The following is a 24,632-nucleotide window of genomic DNA, read 5'->3' as shown; positions in this document are numbered from 1 at the left end:
TTTATTACTTCCTTATTTGTTGGCTGTCCATTTGTTGGTTAGTGTGGTTGGTTTTCCTACATATTAAAGGTTCTGAGGGCCAGTCCAATGTACGGACTGAAATTAGAATGAGGACAGGGAACATGATTGTTTTTATTCACCTGTGCCCAGAACACAGTAAGCGCTGAAAAACATTTGGAGTGGATGAAAGCAATATTTTATTATTTAATTCAAAAGCCCTCTTCATAATCAATCCGTATGCTTGTTGACTGCAAACTGCTCCTGGGCAGAAACTGGGTCTGTTTTATGTATTCACCAGTGTATGCCAAATGTCCAGACCAGAGGTGACATATATTAGGATGGCAATTAATATTTGTTGAATGAATGATTCCTTATTTCAGATAGGAAACGGAGGCTCCGAGACAACGGTAAACTGGCCAAGGCCACATAGCAAGTGGCAGGGGGAGAATTCCAACCATAGTTTCTAACGCTGAGTCCCTTTTTCAGCCTCCTGCCCTGTGTCCCCGGGGCATAGGGACAGGGCGCGGGAACCCTGTGCTGCGCGGCCGAGGACGGTTGTAAGTCTGTCCTCACTCGCCCGCGTCCCACACCTGGGCGAGGGCAAGGGAGGCAGAAGAAATGAGACGCTGGAGAAGCCGCTCCGAGGAAGAGGGTAAACAAACAGGCTCTGGGGCTGCGCGAGGTGCTCTCTGCGCGACAGCTCCTACCCGGCGCTCTTGCTCCCACGGCTCTAAAACCTCAACCTACTCCCTTCCTCCAGTCTCGGTCTCCCTGGGTCTCCGCCTCTCTCTCTTCCTGGCTAACTTATTTCTCACTGGGAAACCAAGGAAATCTAAACGATCGCACTGACCCCACAGCCTCAAAACAAGCCCATCCGCAAAGGCCACCAAACACCCGCTCCCACACCAGGCACAAAGTCCTCTCCGCGACGGATGCGCATGCACGAGCGCGAGTGAGGAGGCAGAGTTAGCGTGTGCGCCTGTGCGCATGCGTGAGTGTAAGTGGGTAGGGAGTCCTTGAGTGTGTCTGCGCGCAAGCTCGTGTAAAGAGCGAAGGCGAGGTGGGGGCGAGTGTGCATGAGCGCGAGCATAAGTGTACTGTCAACAGTGAGATTAAGGTACGTGGGCGTGATGGTGTGTGAAGAGGTGAAAAGTGAATTAGAATGAGGGTAGGGAATGAGATTGCTTTTCCTTTTTTATTTTTAAATTATTTCAATAGTTTTTTGAGGAACAGGTGGTGTTAGGTTACATGGATAGGTTCTTTAGTGGTGATTTCTGAGATTTTGGTGCACCCATCACCCAAGCAGTGTACACTGTACCCAATGTGGTCTTTGATCCCTGTGCGCGGAGCTGTGTGAGTGAAGCGTGTTTGGGAGCATGGGTGTGTGTGAATATATGAGTGTATGAATGTGTGAATGTGAGGAATACGAGAAACTGGGGATGTGCACAGGGTGAGTGCGGTGTGAATGAGAGTGTGAGAACGTGCGTAGAGAGAGCAGGAGTGTGTCTGCGTGTGCCCGGCCCCTGGAGCCCCGCCTCCCCACTAGGCACGCCTTCCTCTTGGTGGGGTGCGCTACGGGCGCAGCCCAGTGCCTCTGTCCGCGCAGACCCGCTCTGCTGGTCCTGGAGCCTGGCGTGGGCTGAGGCTTGAAACTGGCGTCACTCAGCGAGCCAGAAAGGAGTGGGCGGGAGTGTCTGGGGGGTGCGCTGTCTCCCCATGTAGAAGCCTGGACACTCTAAGCAGGAGGGGCTCTGGCAGTATTGCCTCGAGGTCCTCCCTTTCACCTGCCCCCAGTATTGTTCACCCACCTGTGGATCATCTTTATGTTCATGTACTCAGGGAGCACCCATGGTGTGCCTATAGTATGCCAGGCTCTACTTGGGCTTGGGAAACCGTGAGAACAAGATAGCTTAGATCTCATTTGTTTTGGAACTTCCACTGGGCCTTTTATTAATGTGTAACCAGCTTGCAAAATGCCAGTCATACACAAGTTTTGTCGCCTCTGTCCTCAAGCAGAGGGGCATGGAGATTATGAGACAAACACTGATCGTAATAAGACGATGCATTGAAATCAGTGCAAATCCATTTCATCTCCAACCCAACCTCACCCTTTCACTGCACCACTGAGTTTGGGATTGGGTTTAGGAGGTCCTGGATGTGAATCCACCTTCTCTCTGACCATGGAAATAATAATGACCCTCTTCTCACAGGATGGTTGTGAGCATTAAGTGAGTTAAGCCTGACATCCCTTGGCACAACGCCTTGCACATACTTAGCACTCAGTATACAAACTATGACGACGTTGATGTGTGATGACGTTCCCTGAGTCTGATGGAATGTTGTGGGGAAAGAGGGAGGATGCGTTTGTGAGCTACAAAATTTAAGGGATTATTTCTGGATTTAGGTTAAATTAGGCCGGTTGTGGTGGCTCATGTCAATAATCCTAGCACTTTGGCAGGCCGAGGCAGGCAGATTACTTGAGGCTAGAAGTTCGAGACCAGCCTGGCCAATATAGTGAAACCCCATCTCTACTAAAAATACAAAAATTAGCCAGCGTGGTGGTACACGCCTGTAGCCGCAGCTACTTGGGAGGCTGAGACAGGAGAATTCTTGAACCTGAGAGGTGGAGGTTGCAGTGAGCCGAGATTGCACCACTGCACTTCAGCCTGGGCCATAGAGCAAAACTTCATCTAAAAAATATATATATATAAAATAAAATAATTAAATTGTGTATAATTTATACAGATTGAGTATCCTTCATTAGAAATGCTTGGGACCAGATGTGTCTGAAGATTTTGGATTTTTTATGGTTTTGGAACATTTGCATGTATATAATGAGATATCTTGGAAGAGGACCCTAGTCTAAACACAAAATTCATTTATATTTCACATACAGCTTATTCAGTGTACATAGCCTAAAAGTTTTTTATACAATATTTTAAATGATTTTTTGCATGAAGCAATATGTTTTAAGTACTTCTGTGTGGAATTTTCCACTTGTGATGTCATGTTGGTGCTCAATAAGTTGCAAATTTTCAATATTCAGCCTGTATTACATTCTCCTCTAGCATCAGGCTAGTGTTATAGTATCAGATACTCCATCTTCATCCTTTACTATGACTTCTTTTCTTCCACCAATGTTATCAAAAGTACTGTTACCAAGGGAAATAAAAATGCAGCAAGAACCTATAGGAGCTGAATATTCTTTTAGGCAGCTTTGGAAGCATTTTTAGTCCTGTTAAAATGGAAGGGAATATTTTCACAGTGGCACAAAATGAATGCTGTAATTTAACCTTGTGAGCAAAATTTCTGATTAAATACAACATAGGAAATATGTTTCCTGATTAGCCATGTACCTCCCTGGAACAAGGTATTGTATAAACAATTGCAAGACATACTTATTTTTATTTTAGAGAAGCTGACTTATTAAAAACATTTTTTGATATTTTGATCAAATATTTTGATCACTATATATGTGTGTGTATATATATATATATATATATATGGAATGTGGTGGTGGGATCATAGCTCACTGTAGCCTTGAACTCCTAGGCTCAAGCTGATCACAATATAATTTTGTTTAAAACCAAAATTTTTAAAGATTGGATTTCATTATTGAGATGTTTTCCCAAGGAAAAAAAATCAAAAAGAAGGCTTGAAAGATTGGAGAACCGATTGCAGATCTAGGTTCTTGAATTTAACAGCAAGAAAGGAATTCTGTCCTTATGTAACTGACCTATCTCATGTTATAAGTAGGGAGACTGAGGTCTCAAGGGATGAAATGGTCTTAGTGGTCAGTCTCTCCTACAGTCACCAAATAGGACCATATCAGCTTTGTTCCTCTACCTACAGTTTTATACACTTGCAGGAAGATGCCCTGGAAACTAGGAGAAGAGAAGGTACAGGAGTTCCAGGTTCCTGCATTACCCTCAGGTCTCTGTTGCTGGCACCTCCATCTTCTGGTGGCTCTTGCCCAAATCCTTTGAATCTTCTGTGACTCCTCTCTTGCTCTTTCTCTAATCCTGTACATTTAACCCATCATGAAGTCCTGAAGGCTTTAACTTCAAATGTAACTGGAAACTGACCACTTCTTAACACTCCAACTACTATCGCACGGGTCCAAGCCATCACCACTGCATAGGGATGACTGGGTTCATTCTTCCTATACTTGCCTCTACAATCTGTTCTCAACAGAGCAGCCAGAAGGATCGTTTTGAAATAGAAGTCTGATCAGGTCAGACCAAGAACAAAAGGCCCTCCATGATGCCACCATGGCTGTCTCTGACCACTCCAACCACTGGCCTACTTGCTCCCTCTGTTTTCCTTGCTGGTCTGGCCCTCTCTAGCCTTCCCCTCTGTTGAGAACTCTTCCCCTACAAGCTCACACGTCTTACTTCCTCACCTTTAGGTCTTTCCTCCAAAGACACTTTCTTACTGTCTTTTTTCTTTTTTGCTTTGAAATTTAGAAACAAATTTTATTTAAGATCTGAAATGTAATTCCTAAAATATCAACTTTTTCAGAAAACTGTGGCTTACACAATAATGCATTGCCTCTATCACGTTACAACATGCATTAGACTCAAATGCAAAAACCATGAAACAAACGACCACCCTTCAACAATTTGCGCAAAGACAGAATGCCTAAGGAACAACATAGACGGATTTGCAGAGGATGGGCTGTTTTACTTCAAGCATCATTAAAAAAAAGAGAACAAATGCATGGGTTTTTGGGTATATATATCAAATTGAATGTTTGGCACTAGGAGTCAGGGCATTTTGTCATGTAGCATTAACACATATTAGAAAATTGTGTAGTGTCAAAGGGGTAGAACCACCAGCATTCAAGCAATGTTGTCAACTAGGCAATAAAATGTTCCACTGAATATTTCTTCTTTGTTCTAATTACTGCATACCCTGGTAGCAACTTTGAAATGAGAAAAGGAGCTTACACTCCTTTTATTTTCTGTTTAAAACAGAACAGAAAACAAACTGAAACATAAGCCCTGTTTTACATTAACAATGTTAAAGAATATCCATTTTACAAGAAAAAGACTAAGAACAAAAAGTGTTTCCAGATCTCAGGGAAATAACAGTGAATGGTCTGTAGACCAGCACAGGGCTTTGTGGTGGTACTTAGCAGAAGCTACTTTGTAATCACCGCCAGTAAAAAGAGATGCAGAATTCTTTGCCAGATATTTTAGGAAATCATGCAAATGGCCCAACAATAACGCAAGGCTCTTCTCATCAAGGGATATATAGGCCAACATTTCTCCTATTCTTACAAATAACCTCAGTAGGTGTGTGCCCCTTAAACCTGGGACACAGGAGCATCAGGGTGAGCCAAGAGGATTTCTGCATACAGGGGCCTCTCAAATTTGTAGAGCAGCTGAGTGCCTAACATCACGTCGAAATATTCTTTTATTCTTGTCACAATTTCATTAACTGCCTATGCCTTATTATCGACGTTTCCCTGCGATGTTTTACAATTTGCATACTCCTTTAGAATTGCATCTACATTTTGCTTAGCAGGGAGTTAAAACAGCTGCTTCTGCTTGGTAACTAAGTTCCAGTCCCCAGCAAGCCATGGTTTCGATTCTTCAGGCATCTTCACTTTAACTTCCATTCTGTTCTTAAATGCGTCCTCGCTTTCAACAGTGAGGTCTGCCCAGGCTCTTTCCTTCCCTGGGGTCTGAGGTGCTTTGCTGGTACTGCCCCCATATCTGTTTCCAGGAGTCCTCTGTTTGTTCTTTCTGGTCTTCCTCACGGATCCTGAAGCTAAGAAGTTCTCTGCAGAGCGACCCCACATCTTCCTGAGAGAGGTGGTTCAAGATTTTTCTGCTGTGGACCAGCTGCCTTCTTTCCTGAGGAGGCCCCTCTCATCTCTGCATGTTGCTTCTAGTTGGTTTTTTGAAGTTGTCTTCTTCTGCAGATTGTTGTCCATGAGATTGAGAACCCGGCTTTCTGGAACTCATTCAACCCTTTTTATTCCAACCAACAATCTTTCTTCTTTCCAAGAACTCCTAGGGATTTCCCAAAAGGACTCTTATAGATCTTGCAGGATGGTCTAGGAGGATACAGTGGGAGATACAATCCAAGATTCTGTAATCAGAGGTTTCTACAATCAGGATCAGATCTCCTGAGCCTTACTGTACAGCAAACTTAGCTTTTCTGAATGGTGACCTGAAATGAGAATCCAGATCTTTCTAGCTGCCGCTTTCTCACTCTTTTTAAAATATCAAAGCTGCTACTGTGCCTTCTGCACTCCCAATCCCTTTTCCATGCTCTATTTTTTTCTCCCATAGCAGTCATCACTTTCCAACTATATGCTACATAATATCTTCTGTTTATGTTTATCGTCTGAATCTCCCTGCTAGAATGGAAGCTCCTGCAGGATATTTATGTCTACTGGGTTCATTGAGAACAACCACCCTATGAGAAGAGGGCCATTATTATTTCAAAGAGAGGGTGAATTTACATCCAGGACCTCCTAAACCAAACCCCAAACTCAATGGTGCAGTAAAAGGGTGAGGTTGGGATGGAGATGAAATGGATTTGCACTGATTTCAATGCATCATCTTATTACTATCATCATCTGTCTCATAATCTTCTCCATGCCCCTCTGCTTGAGGGCAGAGCCCAAAACTTGTGTATGACCAGCATTTTGCAAGCTGGTTGCACATGAATCAAAGGCCTAGTGGAAGCTTCAAAATGAATGAGATCTAAGCTATCTTGTTTACATGCTTTCCTAAGCATATAAAGCAGAACCTGGCAGAGGAGATGCTCAATAATTTATGAAGGATTGAAAGAAGAATGTCAGTGTTCTAGGTGGATGCTTCCTCACCATTCTATTTTACCTGTATACAGGACTGCAGTTTATAAAGACTCTAACCAGTTATGTCCTTGGGTTAGCACAATTATTTAAGCTAGATAGGACTTTTTGTTTTTTTTTTAACTGTTATTTCCACAATAAGATATTGAGAGGTTAAACGACTTGCCAAAATCAGATCCTGGATTTAGACTTGCAATCAAAGTATCATTTTGTTTTTGGTGGGAGACAAGTTCCCTTTCCAGACCTCCTGGCTAAATGAGGAAAACTAATAAGTTACTGGATTTACTGTGGATGCTTCTAAATCCAGTGGCCCTGAGATTAGGGCTAAGGTTCTCCCTCCACTGTCGGCCTGTGGAATTCTTTAGCTGCTCACATCACAGCTACATGAACAGTTTTTGGGAAACACACCATAATGGCCACATCCTCTTGTTTTTATAATTTACACAGGGTTGAAAACAAGAGATATTGTCTTGTTGTTAGCTAGAGCTCATTTGGAGTCTGCCCTGAGTCTCTGGACTTGGCTCGATGCCCTTCCTCATCTGACTGCTCTGGGCAAACCAACTACTGTCTTAGTCATTGTATTACTCTGTTTGGATTCTCTGTCAGTCCATCAGATTTAGCTGATGAGCTCATTGACTGAAAATTGATTGAGCAAGACAGTGTCCCTAATTCTGTATGCATACACAGCACCATTGTCTTCCACAGATACTTCGTAATAATTGGCATCCCCCTACGAGATCATTGGTATCTCAATAATTAAAATCAATAGCTGTTGTTAAGGCAAGAATTTATCATAGTAACCTACAAAAGTGGTAAAAAGGTAATATAATTCAGAAGATAGATGTAAATATAAAATTACCAATTCTGAACAGGTTTTTAAAGATAATACTTGTTCCTTAAGGACATTCATATTTAATAAAATAAATGAGTTATTTCTTTATCATTTGAATGACATAAATTGTTACTTTTTTATGTGAGTGGGGAAAATATAGCACTTTAACATTTTGAGATAAGGAGTAGAACACTTTATTTATATCAATTCAGTGTTTAGCTTTTCACAGATTTTGTCTCTATGCTACCTGTTTGATTTTTTTTTTTTTTTTTTTTTTGAGACAGAGCAAGGCTGTGTCTCCCAGGCTGGAGTTTAGTGGTGAAACCTTGGCTCATTGCAACCTTCGCCTCCTGAGTTCAAGTGGTTCTCATGTGTCAGCCTCCCGAGTAGCTGAGATTGCAGGTATACACCACCACGCCTGACTAATTTTTTATACTTTTTTGAGTATACTCTAATTTTTTGCTTTCTGGGGTTTTACCATGTTGGCCAGGTTGGTCTCAAACTCCTGGCCTCAAGTGACCTGTCTGCCCTGGCCTCCCAACGTACTGGGATTACAGGTGTAAGCCACTGTGCTTAGCCTGTTAGAATTTAATAGGTCTCAGTTATACACTATTTCACTATTCTGGGTGCTCTAAAGCATCAGTGACAATAATTATGAATGTAGAAGGTGCATTGGTAGCCAAAGTTAACTATGTCATTGCTGTCCTTGAGAGGGGTTTTTACCTGTGTTTTCTTTTTTTTTTGTAATTTTTCTGAGATCAGACAAGTTAGTTAGATTCCAAACAATATGGGCCTAATATAATCACAATTCCATTTAAATTGGCCAAAGAATGACCCTTATCCAGACAGGACTCTTAGTGTACTTAGCTGTCAACAAAATATAAAACTTATCAGAATAATGGCTACTTTTAAATATAAGGCCTGCATCATATTGTTAGAGGAACTTCTGGAAATAGGAGACAGTTGCTATTAAAATTCAATTTAGTTTAATTCACCATTATTTACTGAGTGCCTACATATGTTAGGTACTAGGGCTACAAAGATGACTAGACCCCGGGCTGGGCACAGTGGCTCACCTAACCATAGCCATCAATGAATTCAAGTAAGTGTGTGATAGTGGCATGCAACAACTGTGGAACCATGGAGGAGAGATCTGTTCTTTCTTCCTGCTGGCATCATGGACTCTGAGACTGAGGCTTGAACTATTTCTAGGAGATGCTCAGAGTAAAAACAACAGCAGGAGAAGAGACTTCTAGGCCAAAGTTTCAAGAGTGAGCACAGGCCCAGAGGATGGATATGCATTAAGCTGCATGCAGGAGACAGAAGCAGGAAGGGCTGCTTAGTGGCAGAAAGCAAAGAGTGTGAGTGGCAGGTGAAGAAGTATGAAGGCCTCTGTAGTAAGATGAATGGTCTTTGAAGGATGCTAAGCAGAAAATTGAAATGATTATATTGTAATCATTGTAAAGGATGGGATTGGAAGAGAGAGAAACCAGAGACAGTTAGTGTCCAGTACCAAAGTCCAGACTTGAAATGATAAGTGTCACATTAATCAGTAGTGGTGGGAATGGAGAGGAGAGAATAAATTCAAGAGTAATTTGGAAGGTAGCACCAATGAGCCTTGGTTACTAATTAGATAGGACAGGGGTACAGAAAGACAAATGGGTCAGTGGGGACTTGGGTTTCTAGCTCAGGTGTCTGTATTGAATATGATTGTGTTAACAAATATAGTGGTTACAGATGAAAGATAAGCAGTTTTTTGTTGTTTCAGATGAGACTGTAGATAGAGTGAATGGAACAGAAAAAAGATAAATTGGTTGTAAACATTTTGAGTTTTAAGTGCTATAAGAATAGCCAAGAGGAAATTTTTGATGTAGAGTAGCAGTTGGAAATATGGATCTGAATTTAACAGAAATTGAGATTGGAGTTGGGCGTGGTGGCTCATGCCTGTAATCCCAGCACTTTGGGAGGCTGAGGTGGGTGGATCACCTGAGGTCAGGAGTTCGAGACCAGCCTGACCAACATAGTGAAACCCCGTCTCTACTAAAAATACAAAATTAGCTGGGTGAGGTGGCACATCCCTGTAATCCCAGCTACTTGGCTGGCTGAGGCAGGAGAATCGCTTAAACCCGGGAGGCAGAGGTTGCAGTGAGCCGAGATCACTCCAGCCTGGGCAATAGAGCAAGACTCAGTCTCAAAAAAAAAAAAAAAAAAAAAAAAAGAAAGAAAGAAAAAAGAAAGTGAGAGTAGAAATAAAAATGGCATCAGCCTATATTATTTAAAGCATATATAATATTTGAAGCAATATGATGAGATGAAATTACCCAGGGTTGGTGTCATGGTTAGGATGGTGGTCAGGAAAGTCATTGTTTTGGTGTAGTACTTAGAGTAGTTTGAATATATTATGTGATATATTTGTTGGATGCTGAGTCTCTTCTACAGTCTCACTTCCCTCCTCTAAGGACTTGTATAATCTTTTGGTGAGTCTATCTAGGGATAATCCAGTACTTACTATTTGACAGTGGAACTGGAATACACCTGGGAAACCAAATTAAGGTTGTAAGACAGGTTGGTGTAAATATGGGATTGGATTTAGAAACGACTGGTATGAATATGAGATTAGAGTTACAAATAGCCCTGACCACCAGATGACTTGAAAAGGTGGCTGAGTACTCTTTCCTCATCCCTCTCATCTAATAGAAATAGAGTGGAGTAGGGAAATCCTGATGGAGGGTTCAGACACCCTGCCTTCTTTTCTTTCCAAAAGACTTTCTTTTCCATGTAGACCGTAGATGTTTTCTGACTGAGTCAACTTTATATCCACAAGGTCTGTTGACATTTAACATGCCAAAGATCCATACAGTGGAGCAGCCAGATGTTTAGGGCCTGGTCCTGGCTTATTGCCATGAGCATTGCTCAGATTCCCAGTCTGAGTCAGAATCCTGAGTGACAGATCACAGGATGTTTGTGTTTCCTGAAGGACTTAAAGGGCTTGCAAAATGTTCTGTCTTATCCACCTCCAGAGAGAAGATTGCTCATTTTTGAGATCCATGTAGATGGAAAAAGAAAGGAAAAATGGTATATCAATGCACAAAATCATATACAGTATCACCATTCATCATCAGCTATCACTCTTGATTTTCCATCAGTCACTTCCTTACCTATCTAATGCCCTCATCCCATTATGTTCGGGATCAACCTTTTTGCTTCGACCAGGCTAGCCTGTTTGTGGTCCATGGCACACATAGTTATCTTACCATATGTGGGGTTTCCCATTGACACCTTTCTCCACCTCTATCATCTATTTTTCATCTTTAAATTGCTATTCAAAACTATGGCTTCTCCACAAAACATTTGCTTCCCAATGGTAAAAACTTAGGCTGGGTGCTATGGCTCACACCTATAATCCCAGCACTTTGGGAGGGCAAGGCAGGAGGCTCACTTAAGACCAGGAGTTCGAGACCATCTTGGGCAACATAGTGAGACCTCATCTCTAAAAACAACAACAACAACAACAACAGCAACAAGCAACCCAAAACAAGCACATCAAATCATCCCAAATTCACCAGTGGTTTCCTATATGGCAATTAAAGTTTTATCTCCCCATAGAAATTATACCAGAGGTAAAATTTATACTCATTTGGGCATAAAGTACTTATTTATACATGTCTAGGGCAGATTCCTGATCTTTCCATAGCAGTATGTTACAGAGTAGCCCTCACTTAGAGAGGTAGATAAGTAGAATAGAATATTTGACTACATCAAATTGAAGTATCTTAGATGATGAGAATAATAGCGATAATAAGTATCATTCATCAAGTGTCTGCCATGCCAGACACTCTACTAAGCATTTTGTAATGTTATTACATTTAACTATCACAATAAAGATTAAGAAGGGTATCATGCCCATCTTATAGACTAGAAAACAAAGATTCAAAGAAGTAATTTGAAGCCAGGCACAGTGGTGTGTGCCTGTAGTCCTAGCTACTTGGGAGGCTAAGGCAGGAGGATCCCTTCAGCTCAGGAGTTCAAGGCCAGCCTGGGTAACATAGTGAGACCCTGTCTCTGAAAAAAGAAAAGAAACAAATAAAGGACTAATTTGCCCAAGGTCTTAATTTATAGGCAGTGGAATCTGGATTCAGACCTAAGTCTTTTTTTTCCCCAGCTTTTTGAGATATTAATCAAATAAAATTTGTATATATTTAATTGACAAATAAAAATTGTATATATTTAAGGTATATGTGTGATGATTTTATATATATATATATATATATATATATATATATATATATATATACACACACACATTGTGAAATGATTACCACAATCAAGCTAATTAGCACATCCATTATCTGACATAGTTACCATGTGTGGTGAGAATACTTAAGATCTACTCTCACAGTAAATTTCAAGTATACAATGCAGTATTAACCATTGTCACCATGCTGTACATTAGAGACCCCAGTACTTTTTTTTTTTTTTTTGAGACAGAGTCTCACTCTGTAGCCCAAGCTGGAGTCCAGTGGTGCGATCTCGGCCTCCACCTCCTGGGTTCAAGCAATTCTCATACCTCAGCTTCCCAAGTAGCTGAGACTACAGGTGTGTGCCACCACGCCCAGCTAATTTTTTGTATTTTAGTAGAGATGGGGTTTCACCATGTTGCTCAGGTTGGTCTTGAACTCTTGATTTCAGATGATCCACCTGCCTCAGCCTTCCAAAGTGCTGGGATTATAGGCATGAGCCACTGCACCCAGCCGAGACCCCAGTGCTCTTTAATCTTTCAACAGAAAGTTTGTACCCTTAACCAACATCTTCCCATCTCTTCCCCTTACCCTGCACCCCAAACCCCTGCCTCAGCTCCTGGAAACCACTATTCTACTTTCTGCCTCTGTGAGTTCAATTTTTTTAGATTCCACCTATAAGTGAGATTATATAGCATTTGTCTTTCTTTGTCTGTCTTATTTCACTTAGCATAATGTCCTCATTGTCACAAATGGTAGAATTTTCTTTTTTTTAATGGCTGAATATATATATATATACACATATATATACACATATATATACACATATATATATACACATACATATACACATATATACACATATATATATGTATATATATATACCAAATTTTCTTTATCCATTAACTGTGGATGAATACTTAAGTTGATATCATAACATGCAATAAACATGAGAATGCAGATATCTCTTTGAGATACCGATTTCATTTTGTTTGACTACATACCCAGAAGTGGGATTGCTGGATCATATAGGAGTTCTATTTTTAATTTTTTGAGGAACTGCCGTACTGTTTTTCATAATGGCTATACCAAGTTACATTTCCTCCAACAGTGTATAAGGGTTCCCTTTCTCCATACCCTTGCAGACACTCATCTTTTATCTTTTGGATAATAGCCATTCTATTTTAAAAAATTTTTATTTTTTAATTTGTTTTTTTTTATTTCTGAGACCTCTCAGGGATGAAAATATTAATAATTGCCATTCTAACAGGTGTGAAGTGATATCCCATTGTGGTTTTGATTTGCACTTACCTGATGATTAGTAATGCTGAGGACCTTTTATATACCTGCTGGACATTGGTACATCTTCTTTGAAAAAATGTCTATTCTGGTCCTTTGCCTATCTTTAAATCAGGTTTTTTGTCTTTCACTATTGAGTTGTATGACTTCTTTTTCTATATTAAATACTAACCCCTTCTCTGATACGTGGTTTCTAAATATTTTCTTCTATTCTGTGGGTTTTCTTTTCATTTGTTGCTTGTTTTCTTTGCTGTGCAGAAGCTTTTTGATTTGATGCAGTGTACTACTTCTTTATTTTTGTTTCTATTGCCTGTACTTTTGGTATCACATCCAAAAAAAATCATTGCCAATAACAACGTCAAGGAAATTTTCCCCTATTTTTTGTTCTAGGAGTTTTGTGGTTTCAGACTTTAGCTTAAGTCTGAAAGGATAAAAGTTTTCTGGAAGGGGAAGTTTTGTTGTTGTTGTTGTTTCTTTGTTTGCTTTAAATGGAGTCTCTGTCACCTAGGCTCGAGTGTGCAGTGGCGCAATCTCAGCTCACTGCAACCTCTGCCTTCCAGGTTCAAGCAATTCTCCTGCCTCAGCCTCCTGAGTAGCTGGGATTACAGGCACCCACCACCATGCCTGCCTAATTTTTATATTTTTAGTAGAGGCGGGGTTTCACCATGTTGGCTAGGCTGGTCTCGAACTCCTGACCTCAAGTGATCTGCCTGCCTCAGCCTCCCAAATTGCTAGGATTACAGCCATGAGCCACCGCACCCGGCTCTGTAAGGGGAAGTTTTAACACTAACATGGAAAAGAAAGTATATAGTAAAATTTCAAAGATTGTATAATTTAATGTCATGTAGGAAAACATAAAGATAATAGTTAACAAATCATAAGAGAGGCCGGGAACGGTGGCTCACTTATGTAATCCCAGCACTTTGGGAGGCCAAGGTGGGCAGATCACTTGAGGTCAGGAGTTTGAGACCAGCCTGGCCAACATGGCGAAACCCCATCTCTACTAAAAATACAAAATTAACGGGGTGTGGTAGTGCATGCCTGTAATCCCAGCTACTTGGGAGGCTGAGGCCAGATAATCGCTTGAACCCAGGAGGCGGAGGTTGCAGTAAGCCAAGATCGTGTCACTGCACTCCAGCCCTGGGGACAGAGACAGACTCTGTCTCAAAACAATAAATAAATAAATAAATCATGAGAGATCTTTTAAGGTTGTATGACAGAAAAATGAAAGGCCAGCTCAATACAGACAAACTAATTCAAGCTTTATTAATAAGGTTGTTCCTATATTATTTTAATTATGATCCAGAAACAAAAGAGGAATTAGAAAAGATTGTGGAACTGTTCTCTAATGGCATGATCCTAATATGACTGGATTAAATCTGACTGGACTGCTCTGTTCAACACAACCATCAAAATGTTGATTTTGACCATCCTAGCAACGAGAATAAAAAGCAACATCTGACCCTTTGACAGTGGCATTTATAAAAATGAAATCTCACATATACATGAGGGTAGGGTCCTGAGCTACCTAAAGTTTGTAAACTCATTTCAGTAACTTGAAGAAACCTCTATTAGTAAGCACTAATTATAGAATCCCACATGTGAGACACATTACATTCATGGGTTGATTGGCATCATTCTCAGTTGATCTGAGATTATCATCAAAAAAATTTTGACTTAGGATTTCTTTGCCAAGTTACATCATTCCTAAAGCATCTAAAATCAGGCAGGGCAGAATAGAACCACATGCTGATGTCACAGGGTGTAGGTGGGTTTGAATGGTCTCTGATTTAGTCAACATTCATGCTGTAATTGTGAATGATAGCTGCTCTGTGATACTAATAAGAATGCTCACCTGCTCAAGTGATACGCCCTTGAACAACAGGTCCTCACAGTTGGCAGCCGGGTGGCAGGAGGGCTGCTATAGAAATGAAGTTATAGAGACCTAACAGAACCACTGGCAGAGTGGGATCTTTGAGCCAAAGTGGGATCATGTCTAAGGTGAGTAGTAGCCTCAACAGCCTTGCAAGTACATTTTGAGGAAGCATATTCTTGTGGAGAAACCTCTTACAGGCTAGTGACTATGCTCATCCTCAGCAAAATAACCTGTCTGTTCCTTAGATGATAGGTGCATAGATAGTGTGAACTATTCATTTGATTCTCAGAAAACAATAAAATCATGCTGGCTGTTCTTTCCAGTTCAGCCATTGAACTCTTAAATTGCCAGACAGCCATGTAAGTCTGAATGAATGACCATTCATATACCCTTTCCACTGCACTGCAATATGGCTCTGCTCAGAATGGCAAGGAGAAAGACTGGAAGAGAAAAATGGTTGCAGGATCTTCTTGTGTTTCTACAAGGCTTTGACGGTGCTGAGAACATAATCCATTCTGGTGAATTTTTTCTGTGAAGGAGGCAACTAGAAAGGAATATTGTCTTCATTCTCTAGAAAAAAAGAACTGAAGGAAGAGAATTTATAGTTGGCTGATTATAACAGCATGAAAACGCATATCTTCTACTCTTTATCTAGAATTTTGTCCATCCTGATTAAAATAACAACACCCTCAATAACAACTAACGTTGAGTACTTGTCATATATTGTATCATTTTAATCCTCCCAACAACTTTATGAATGAGTACTATAATTAGCTGCATTACACAGATGATAACAAGGATGACAATTGTTGAGTTAACCCAGTTTCCTCAGTTTCTTTTTTTAAATTTTTAATTGTTTATTTATCAGTACAAATGATTCCTTAGCCCACATATTCATGTTTCATAGTTCAGGAACATAGGTCAGTGACAAACTTCTGAGGAACTCAATCCCAAAACATTCTTAACATTCCAAAATCACTTTGCACTCTGAAAGGTACCAGCCCTCTTCACCTCCTCAAAATCTTTCATGGAATCATAGTTTCTGTAGAAATCTACATATATCTGCTTTCTTGGTTCAGCAATGTAAACTTTAAGAGAGCTGCAACCCCCAGCATTACAAGAAATGCTCTGACAATATGAAATCACAGACACCTGGCCAAAAGGCTATGCATCTGAAATTTCTTCAAAACACTGGAAGCCGTGGTAGTTATTGTCCTCAACACCAATGTCCTTCCTGGCTGATGGAGAAATGCCCAGTTTCTTAAATATCATCATGGGATTGTAAAATCTTTGGGGAAGCATATAGACTTTTAAAATAACCACTCAACAATTGCTAATTATACTGAGTAAAACCAGTTAGCTTTATTTTCTCATTGCTTATATTTTTTCCTTCTTATTTATCTTTTCTCCCTTGCAGTAGAAACATTTACCTACAGCAGAAGTCTTAGACCTTAGTTGTATTTCAGCTTTTAGGGGCCATCTGAGCTGAGTAAGTCATTTTTAAAAATTAATTTAATTAATTAATTAATTTTTTTTTTGAGACAGATTTTCACTCTATTGCCCAGGCTGGACTACAGTGGCATGATCATGGCTCACTGTAGTCTTGGCTTTCCTGGCTCAAGCAATTCTGCCTGAGCCCCCCAAATAACTGGGACTACAGCTGTGCCTTACCACGCCTACCTAATTTATTTGAATTTTTAGTAGAGACAAGATCTCGCTATGTTGCATAGGCTGTTCTTGAACTCCTGAGCTCAAGCAAACCTCCTGCCTCAGCTGCCCAAAGTGCTAGGATTACAGGTGTGAGCCACCATGCCCAGCCTGAGTAAGTCATTTAACTTAAGTTTTCTCTGAAGTTTATAGAATGGGATGAATATCTCTCTGTTTACAGCACTGGGGTATGGTGAGGGTCAGATGTGACATTGCAAATGAACATGTTTTATAAAATATTAAGCAGTATGTAAATACTGATATAAATATGGCCGGCACAGTGGCTCACATCTGTAATCCCAGCATTTTGGGAGGCCGAGGCGGGCCTTGAGGTCAGGAGTTCAAGGCCAGCCTGGCCAAAATGGTGAAACCTCATCTCTACTAAAAATACAAAAATTAGCCAGCCATGGTGGCAGGTGCCTGTAATCCCAGCTACTCAGGAGGCTGAGGCACGAGAATTGCTTGAAACCAGGAGGCAGAGGTTGCAGTGAGCTGAGATGGAGCCACTGCATTCCAGTTTGGGTAATAGAGTGAGACTCAGTCTCAAAATAACAATAAAAATAAATAAATATTTTTTCTACTTTTTTCTTTGCCTGATTTTTCCCCTTATTTTTCTGAATAAAGATATTGCATTCCTTTACATGTTCATATCCAAATATCCTCCAATGGTGTGATTAACTACAGCATAAAAAGATAATAGCAAGATTTCTGAAGACGTTCACTTAAAACTATTTTGTTTCTCCAAGACTAAGTTATTCGTCCAGTAACTAACGTGTATTTAGTTTTCTGGACCTTCAGATTACCTCATAGTCCATTATAGCTTCAAAGGACACATTGATATCTTTAAATATATCAAGTGCAGAGTCACCAGATGATCCTCAAAGCTCAAATTCAGGTATCTCTTTATGTGCTTAATGTCACTGAGAGCAAGGTTATACCCTGGATATTGACACCTTAAAGTTAACTGACTTGAGAGAATTTATTTTATTTTATTTTTATTCATTTTTGGAGACTGGGTCTCACTCTGTTGCCCAGGTGAGTGCAGTGGCACAATCACAGCTCACTGCAGCCTTGATCTCCCTGGCTCAAGTGATCCTCCCACCTCAGCCTCCTGAGTAGCTGGGACTACAGGTGCATGCCACCATACCTGGTTAATTTAAAAATGTATTTTTGTAGAGACAGGGTCTCACCATGTTGCCCAGGCTGGTCTTGAACTCCTGGGCTCAAACAATTCTCTTGCCTTGGCCTCACAAAGTGTTGGGATTTTAGGCATGAGTCACTGTGCCCAGCTGAGAATTTTTAAAAACATTTTAGTTCTACCTAAGAGTCACTCAGGTTAAGAAGAGGTTGAGATATACTAGCCAATAAAGTAGAAAAGAAAGAAATTTGAAAAGTATGAATTCAAAAAGTAGACATATTCAGAAAAAAAATCACATAAATATAAGAAAAAATTAAAAATAGGGAAGAAACACCATAGTAAGGCCAGTGTGTGTGTGTGTGTGTGTGTGTGTGTGTGTGTTTGTGTGTTGTAGGTGGAGATGGCAGTGGGAGAACATAGAAACAACTTCTCTTTTGAGTTCCCAGATGAAGCTGGGTACTTCCTAATCTCAATTAAGTGAGAAGGCCAACATGATTATAACTATTAAATCCAACTTTTCCCTGTACCATGTGCAAAGAACTACAGAAAATCTTAACACTGGTGTGTAAGAAGGCCATTGACTTCAAGTGAGAGTTCCAAAGGATAAAGAGTAGATTTTCTCAGCATGCATTCAGGGGCCAAAAGAAAGTGCTTGTGCCTCTCAGATCTTAAAAGTGAAAACCAGTGTCTTAAAAGCCATGTTTTAAGTGTCTAAGTTAAGTATGGCACTTAACAGAGACATAACACAACTTAATTAAAAATATCCCTTAAATTTTACACACAGACACAGAAGAGAAAAAAACCTATGACTTTTTTTTTTTGAGATGGAATCTCTCACTGTCACCCGGACTGGAGTGCAGTGGTGCCATCTAGGCTCACTGCAACCTCCGCCTCCCGGGTTCAAGCGATTCTCCTGCCTCAGCCTCCTGAGTAACTGGGACTACAGGTGTGCACCACCATGCCCGGCTAATTTTTGAATTTTTTTTAGTAGAGACAGGGTTTCACCAAGTTGGCCAGGATGGTCTCCATCTCTTGACCTTGTGATCTGCCCATCTCAGCCTCCCAAAGTGCTGGGATTACAGACATGAGCCACTGCGCCCGGTCTAAAACCTACGACTTTAAAAATTAATAGTTTGATCTATTTTTCTTTGTCTTTCTACTGTTTCTTATGATATCCAGGGTCAGGAAGAAAGGGCTAAGTCCCTCTTTCTTCTAGCCTTGCTGTATTAGTCATCTATTGCTACATAACCAATTGCCCCAAAACTTGGTAGCTTAAAACAACAATAAACATTTGTCATTTCTGACAGTTTCTGGAGGTTAGGAATTGGTGAATGGCTGGGTGGTCTGGGGTTGCAGTCAAGATGTTAGTTGGGGCTGCTTGGCTGGAGCTGGAGGATCCAATTTTAGGGTGGCTCACTCCCATGAGTGGCAGAAAGCCTCAGTTCCTGTTCATGTGAGTCTCTCCATAGGTCTGTTTGAGTGTCCTCATGACATGGTGAGTGGCTTCCTCCAGAATGAGTTATTTAAGGGAATAAGATAAAATGTGTCATGTCTTTTATAACTTAGCTTTGGAAGTCATATACTGTCACTTTCACAAATCCTATTGGTCACACAGGTCACCTCTATTCAGTGTGGGAGGGAACTATAGAATGGCTTGCACACAAGTTGATGAGTCTCTCAGGGACCATCCTGAAGGCTGGCTATCACAATAGTTAAGTCACACCATCTAGTCAGAGCCCCAAATGTTAAGAAGGCTGTTGACCAAACCAAGGCTGATGGGAGTGAGAGACTGCCTCTGCAAAGAGGCAGGGACTAGAAACTCCCTTCCAGGAGGAAATATGGTTGAAGTAAATGGGCATGTTTAGCTCACAAACAAAAAAGATTTGGGATGTGAACATCTTTTTTTTTTTTTAGACGGAGTCTCGCTCTGTCACCCAGGCTGGAGTGCAGTGGCACGATCTCGGCTCACTGCAAGCTCGGCCTCCTGGGTTCATGCCATTCTCCTGTCTCAGCTTCCCAAGTAGGACTATAGGCGCCCGCCACCATGCCTGGCTGATTTTTTGTAGTTTTAGTAGACACGGGGTTTCACTGTGTTAGCCAGGGTGGTCTTGATCTCCTGACTTTGTGATCCATCCGCCTTGGCCTCCCAAAGTGCTGGGATTACCGGCATGAGCCACCACGCCCAGACGCGCACATCTTAACATATTTGAAGGACCATCATATAGAAGAAGTAGACTTGTTTTGTGTGTCCTCAGAGACAAGAACCAGAACTAACAGATGAAGACGTATTGAATGACTCTTGGATTCCAGGCAATAGTCAAGGGCTTAGATTACAAGAATAACTAAGTCATAGTTCTAGACCTTAAAGAATCTAGTCTTTTATGTGGAAGAACATAATATTTTTGTATATGCTCAATATACTATAGATATTTAATACAATTATTGTAGTTGTTCAGCTAAAGAAGGAAGTACCGTGTGATGCAGACTGGTACATGGTTTTGAAGGCCAGTGTGGGCCAGATGACTTTTGGGTTCATTCTGGTTTTATGAACCTATGATTCTAGTAGTAATCTCCAGATTGTCGTGAACTTAAAAGATGGTAGTGAAGAGAGCTAAGTACATAAACTAAGTATTTTATATTTATGGTGTTGATTTAAAAGATACTTTTTTTTTTTTTTGAGATGGAGTCTTGCTCTGTCGCCCAGGCTGGAGTGCAGTGGCGCAATCTCGGCTCACTGCAAGCTCCCCTTCCAGGTTCACGCCATTCTCCTGCCTCAGCCTCCCGAATAGCTGGGACTATAGGTGCTCACCACCACGCGCCATGACACCCAGATAATTTTTGTATTTTTAGTGGAGATGGAGTTTCACCATGTTGGCCAGGATGGTCTAGAACTCCTGACCTCGTGATTCGCCCGCCTTGGCCTCCCAAAGTGCTGGGATTACAGACGTGAGCCACCGCACCCAGCCTAAATTAGATACTTTATAGGTATTATTATTATTTAGATTTAGATATTACTCCAGGAGAATCTAAGAGAAACAACATGGATTTCATAGATTTATTATAACAACATTTTAGGGACAAATTTTGAACCAAATGTGTACACATGGTATGAAATGATCTGGAAAATATGATTTTATACATGTAGCCATCCATTTAGTATTTATTTTTAGTAGAGACAGGGTTTCACCATGCTGGCCAGGCTGGTCTCGAACTCCTGACCTCGTGATCTGCCTGCCTCGGCCTCCCAAAGTGCTGGGATTACAGGCGTGAGCCATTGTGCTTGACCCCATTTAATATTTATTAAGCACTAATTATATGGCAGGTACTGTTGTAGGTGTTAGGAAGACTGATGTAAGGAACCCAAATATTTCTCTAGTGGTGTTTAAGACCAGTGTAGCATAGTGGTAAGATTATGGGATGAGGAAAGATCCTATTTGAGTTCAAGTTCTGGCTCTACCACTTCCTAGTTGTGTGGCCTTGGCCAAGTTACCTAACTTCCTTGTACTTCAGTTTTATAATGTCTAAAACAGGGATGAAAACGGTACCTATGTTATAGGAATGTTTACAAGGCTTATAAGGCTAAGTGGGTTGATTTGTACAAAGTGCTTAGAATAGTGCTTGGAATACTATATGTGTTATACAGGTTGTGTATCCCTAATCTAAAAATCCAAAATCCAAAATGCTTCAAAACCTGAAACTTTTTAAGTGCTGACATGACACTCAAAGGAAAAGCTCATTGGAACATTTCAAGCTTTGGATTTTCAGATTAAGGATGCTTAATCTATATACACATTTAGCTTTTTCTCCAAGCATAATTGGTTCTGCTCTCAGGAAGCTCCCAGCCTAGTTTAGATCATCTTCCTTCCCTCTCCTTTAGTGGCCACAGTTGTATGGAAGGCGAAGAGGATCTCTGTTGCTCTCTAAAGGCCTTTTGCATAGTTGTATTGCACATACATCAATCCTAAAGCATTGGAGCAGAAGTGCTATTTTCTATTACTTATACTGCGGGCACCAAAAACTCTAAGGTTGGGGCACAACCTGAACATTTTAGGTCAGATGCCCACTCTTGGAACTGGAGATATGGTCAGCTTAACCTAATCACATGTACTGAGGATGGAGGGGATATGATTTACTAAAAATCCTGAGAGTGTTGTTACAGAATGTGTGCCATTTACAGAATAACAGGCTGGGAAGTGGTGCAGGCAGGCTAGGCTGGACTACTGGTCTCCCACTTGGGGATTTAAAAATACACATCTGGCCAGGCCTGGTGGCTCACTCCTGTAACCTCAGCACTTTGGGAGGCCGAGTTGGGCAGATCACCTGAGGTCAGGAGTTCAAGACCAGCCTGGCCAACACGGTGAAACCCCGTCTCTACTAAAAATACAAAAATCAGCCAGGCGTGCTGGTGCATGCCTGTAATCCCAACTACTCAGGAGGCTGAGGCAGGAGAATCGCTTGAATCCGGGAGGTGGAGGTTGTAGTGAGCCGAGATTGTGCCATTGCACTCCAGCCTGGGCGACAAGAGTAAACTCCGTCTCAAAATAAATAAATAAATAAATACATAAATACATAAATAAATAAATAAATAAATAAATAATAAAAATGCACATCTGATAATGTCACTGCCTGGCTTCACATCCTCCGCTCCTTTACTTTTGGCATGCATTTAAGATTTCTTACAAAGGCCATCAAGTTTCCACCAGCCTCTTTGACCTCAACTCCAATCTGGCTCTGCCTTCCTCACTATGATCCACCCACACTGGCTTTGTTTTTTACCTCATTTGAGCTGTGCTCTTTTCTACTTCAAGGTCTTTAAACATGCTATTCCCACTGTCTGGAGCTTTCTCCTCTCTTCTCTCTACTTCCCTACCTCCATACCTTTGCTTAGCTCATCAGCTTACATGTCATTTTCCCAGAGAATAAATCCTGATTTCTTGGAGTGAGTTAGGTGGGTTTACTACTCCCATGGACCCCTGTGCTTCTCCACAGAACTGATCACAATTCTAATAGTTATTTATTTTTATAATTATCTGTCAGTCCTCCCCAGTGGACTTCATGCTCACAAAGGCAGGGGCTGTGTTTGGTTTACTGCTAAATCCCTAGTTCCTGGCACAGTATGTGACACATGAGAAGCATTCAATGCAAATTTGTTGAATGAATGAATGAGTGAACAAATGAGGGTTTATATGCTTTCTCAAGTCAGCTTGGGCTGTGTGATATCAGGAAATACATATTTGGTTTTTGACCCTGTTTCCTGGCATACAACACCTAAAATGCTTAGAAACTCCAAAGCAATGTCTTTCTGTATTCTAGTGAGTTGACTGTAGGCTGGCAGCTCCTAGTTAGCTTCAGGATGAGAGCTGATCACCAGAAGGGGCTGAAGATTAAGTCAATGGCCAGCGGTGTAATCAATCATGCCTACGTAATGAAGCCCCATAAAACCCTGAAGGAACAGGGTTCTGAGAGCTGCCAGACAGCTGAACACGTGGAGGATTACAGGGAGATGAACAAGAACTCATCCGTGTGCTGGGAAAGCAGAGCACCCCGACTCCGCGGGGACAGAAGCTCCTGCACCCAAGACCCTTCCAGACCTCACCCTCTGTGTCTCTTCATCTGGCTGTTTATTTGTAACCCTTAAAAGATCCTTCTTGGCTGGGTGTGGTGGCTCATGCCTATAATCTCAGTACTTTTTGGAGACCAAGGTGGGTAGATTACTTGAGCCCAGGAGTTGGAGACTAGCCTGGGCAACATGGTGAAACCCCATCTCTACAAAAAATATAAAAATTAGCTGGATGTGGTGGTGCATGCCTGCATTCCCAGCTACTCGGGAAGCTGAAGTGGGAGCATTGCTTGAGCCCAGGGAGGTTGAGGCTGCAGTGAATGGTGATTGTACCTCTGTCTCAATAAATAAATAATAAATAAATAACTATTGGACTGCAGTGAATGGTGATTGTACCTCTGTCTCAATAAATAAGTGAAATGAAATGAAATGAAATATCCTTCTTAATAAACTGGTAAACCTGTTTCCCCGAGTTCTGTGAGCCGCTCTAACAAATTAGTTGAACTTGACGAGGGTGTTGTGGGAACCCCAATTTATAGCTGGTCAGTCAGAAGTTCTGGAGACCTGGACTTGTGACTGGTGTTTGAAGTGGAGGGTGCAGTCTTGCGGACTGAGCCCTCAACCTGTGGGATTTGATGCTATCTCCAGGTAGAGAGTGCTGGAATTGAATTAGGACATACAGCTGGTGCCCACTGCAGAACTGATTGCTTGCTTGTTGGTGGAGAAAACCCCCCAACACATCTGGTCACAGAGAGTCTTCTGTGTTGGTTGTTGTTGTTAAGCAGGAGAATAGGAAAAAGCACATTGAGTGTATTTTCCACACAAATAGGCTGCCACACAAAATACCATAGACTGTGTCTTAGTCCCTTTGGGCTGCTATAATCAAATATCATAAACTATGTGACTTATAAACAAACATTTATTTCTCATAGCTTTGGAAACTTGGAAGTTCAAGATCAAACGGCTGGTAGCTTTGGTTTCTGGTGAGGGGCTTCGTCCTTGTATATGGTTGTCTTCTTGCTGTGTTCTAAGATAGTGGAAGGGGCAAACCAGCTCTCTGGGGCCTCTTTTATGAGGGCACTAATCCCATTCATGAGGGCTCAGCCTTCATAACCTAATCACCTCCCAAAGGCCCTAATATTTCCTAATACCA

At 41.2% G+C, this 24,632-nt stretch overlaps 1 protein-coding gene and 1 pseudogene across 1 annotated transcript in view, besides 1 other annotated feature; one reads left to right on the top strand and one right to left on the bottom strand.

Annotated features, from left to right (window-relative positions):
- Positions 1-1,018: 1,018 nt before the first annotated feature.
- Positions 1,019-24,632, top strand: part of CHIC2 (cysteine rich hydrophobic domain 2) — an 82,091-nt gene continuing 58,477 nt past the window's right edge. The window contains exon 1 of the mRNA XM_047450063.1: positions 1,019-1,117. The gene's annotated coding sequence lies outside the window, so the exon portion shown is untranslated. The remainder of the gene's footprint in view (positions 1,118-24,632) is intronic.
- Positions 1,461-1,560: a silencer, noted in NCBI's record as "silent region_15434". NCBI's record gives its function as "represses an Ori minimal core promoter by ATAC-STARR-seq in GM12878 lymphoblastoid cells {active_cell/tissue: GM12878}" and the evidence as "EXISTENCE:reporter gene assay evidence [ECO:0000049][PMID:35858748]".
- On the bottom strand, positions 4,451-6,213 carry MORF4L2P1 (mortality factor 4 like 2 pseudogene 1; annotated as a pseudogene).

The sequence above is a fragment of the Homo sapiens genome, chromosome 4, assembly GCF_000001405.40.
Source record: "Homo sapiens chromosome 4, GRCh38.p14 Primary Assembly".
In the NCBI taxonomy this organism is placed as follows: Eukaryota; Metazoa; Chordata; class Mammalia; order Primates; family Hominidae; genus Homo; species Homo sapiens.
Note: the sequence above shows the minus strand (reverse complement) of the source record. Positions and strands in the feature narration are given on the sequence as shown.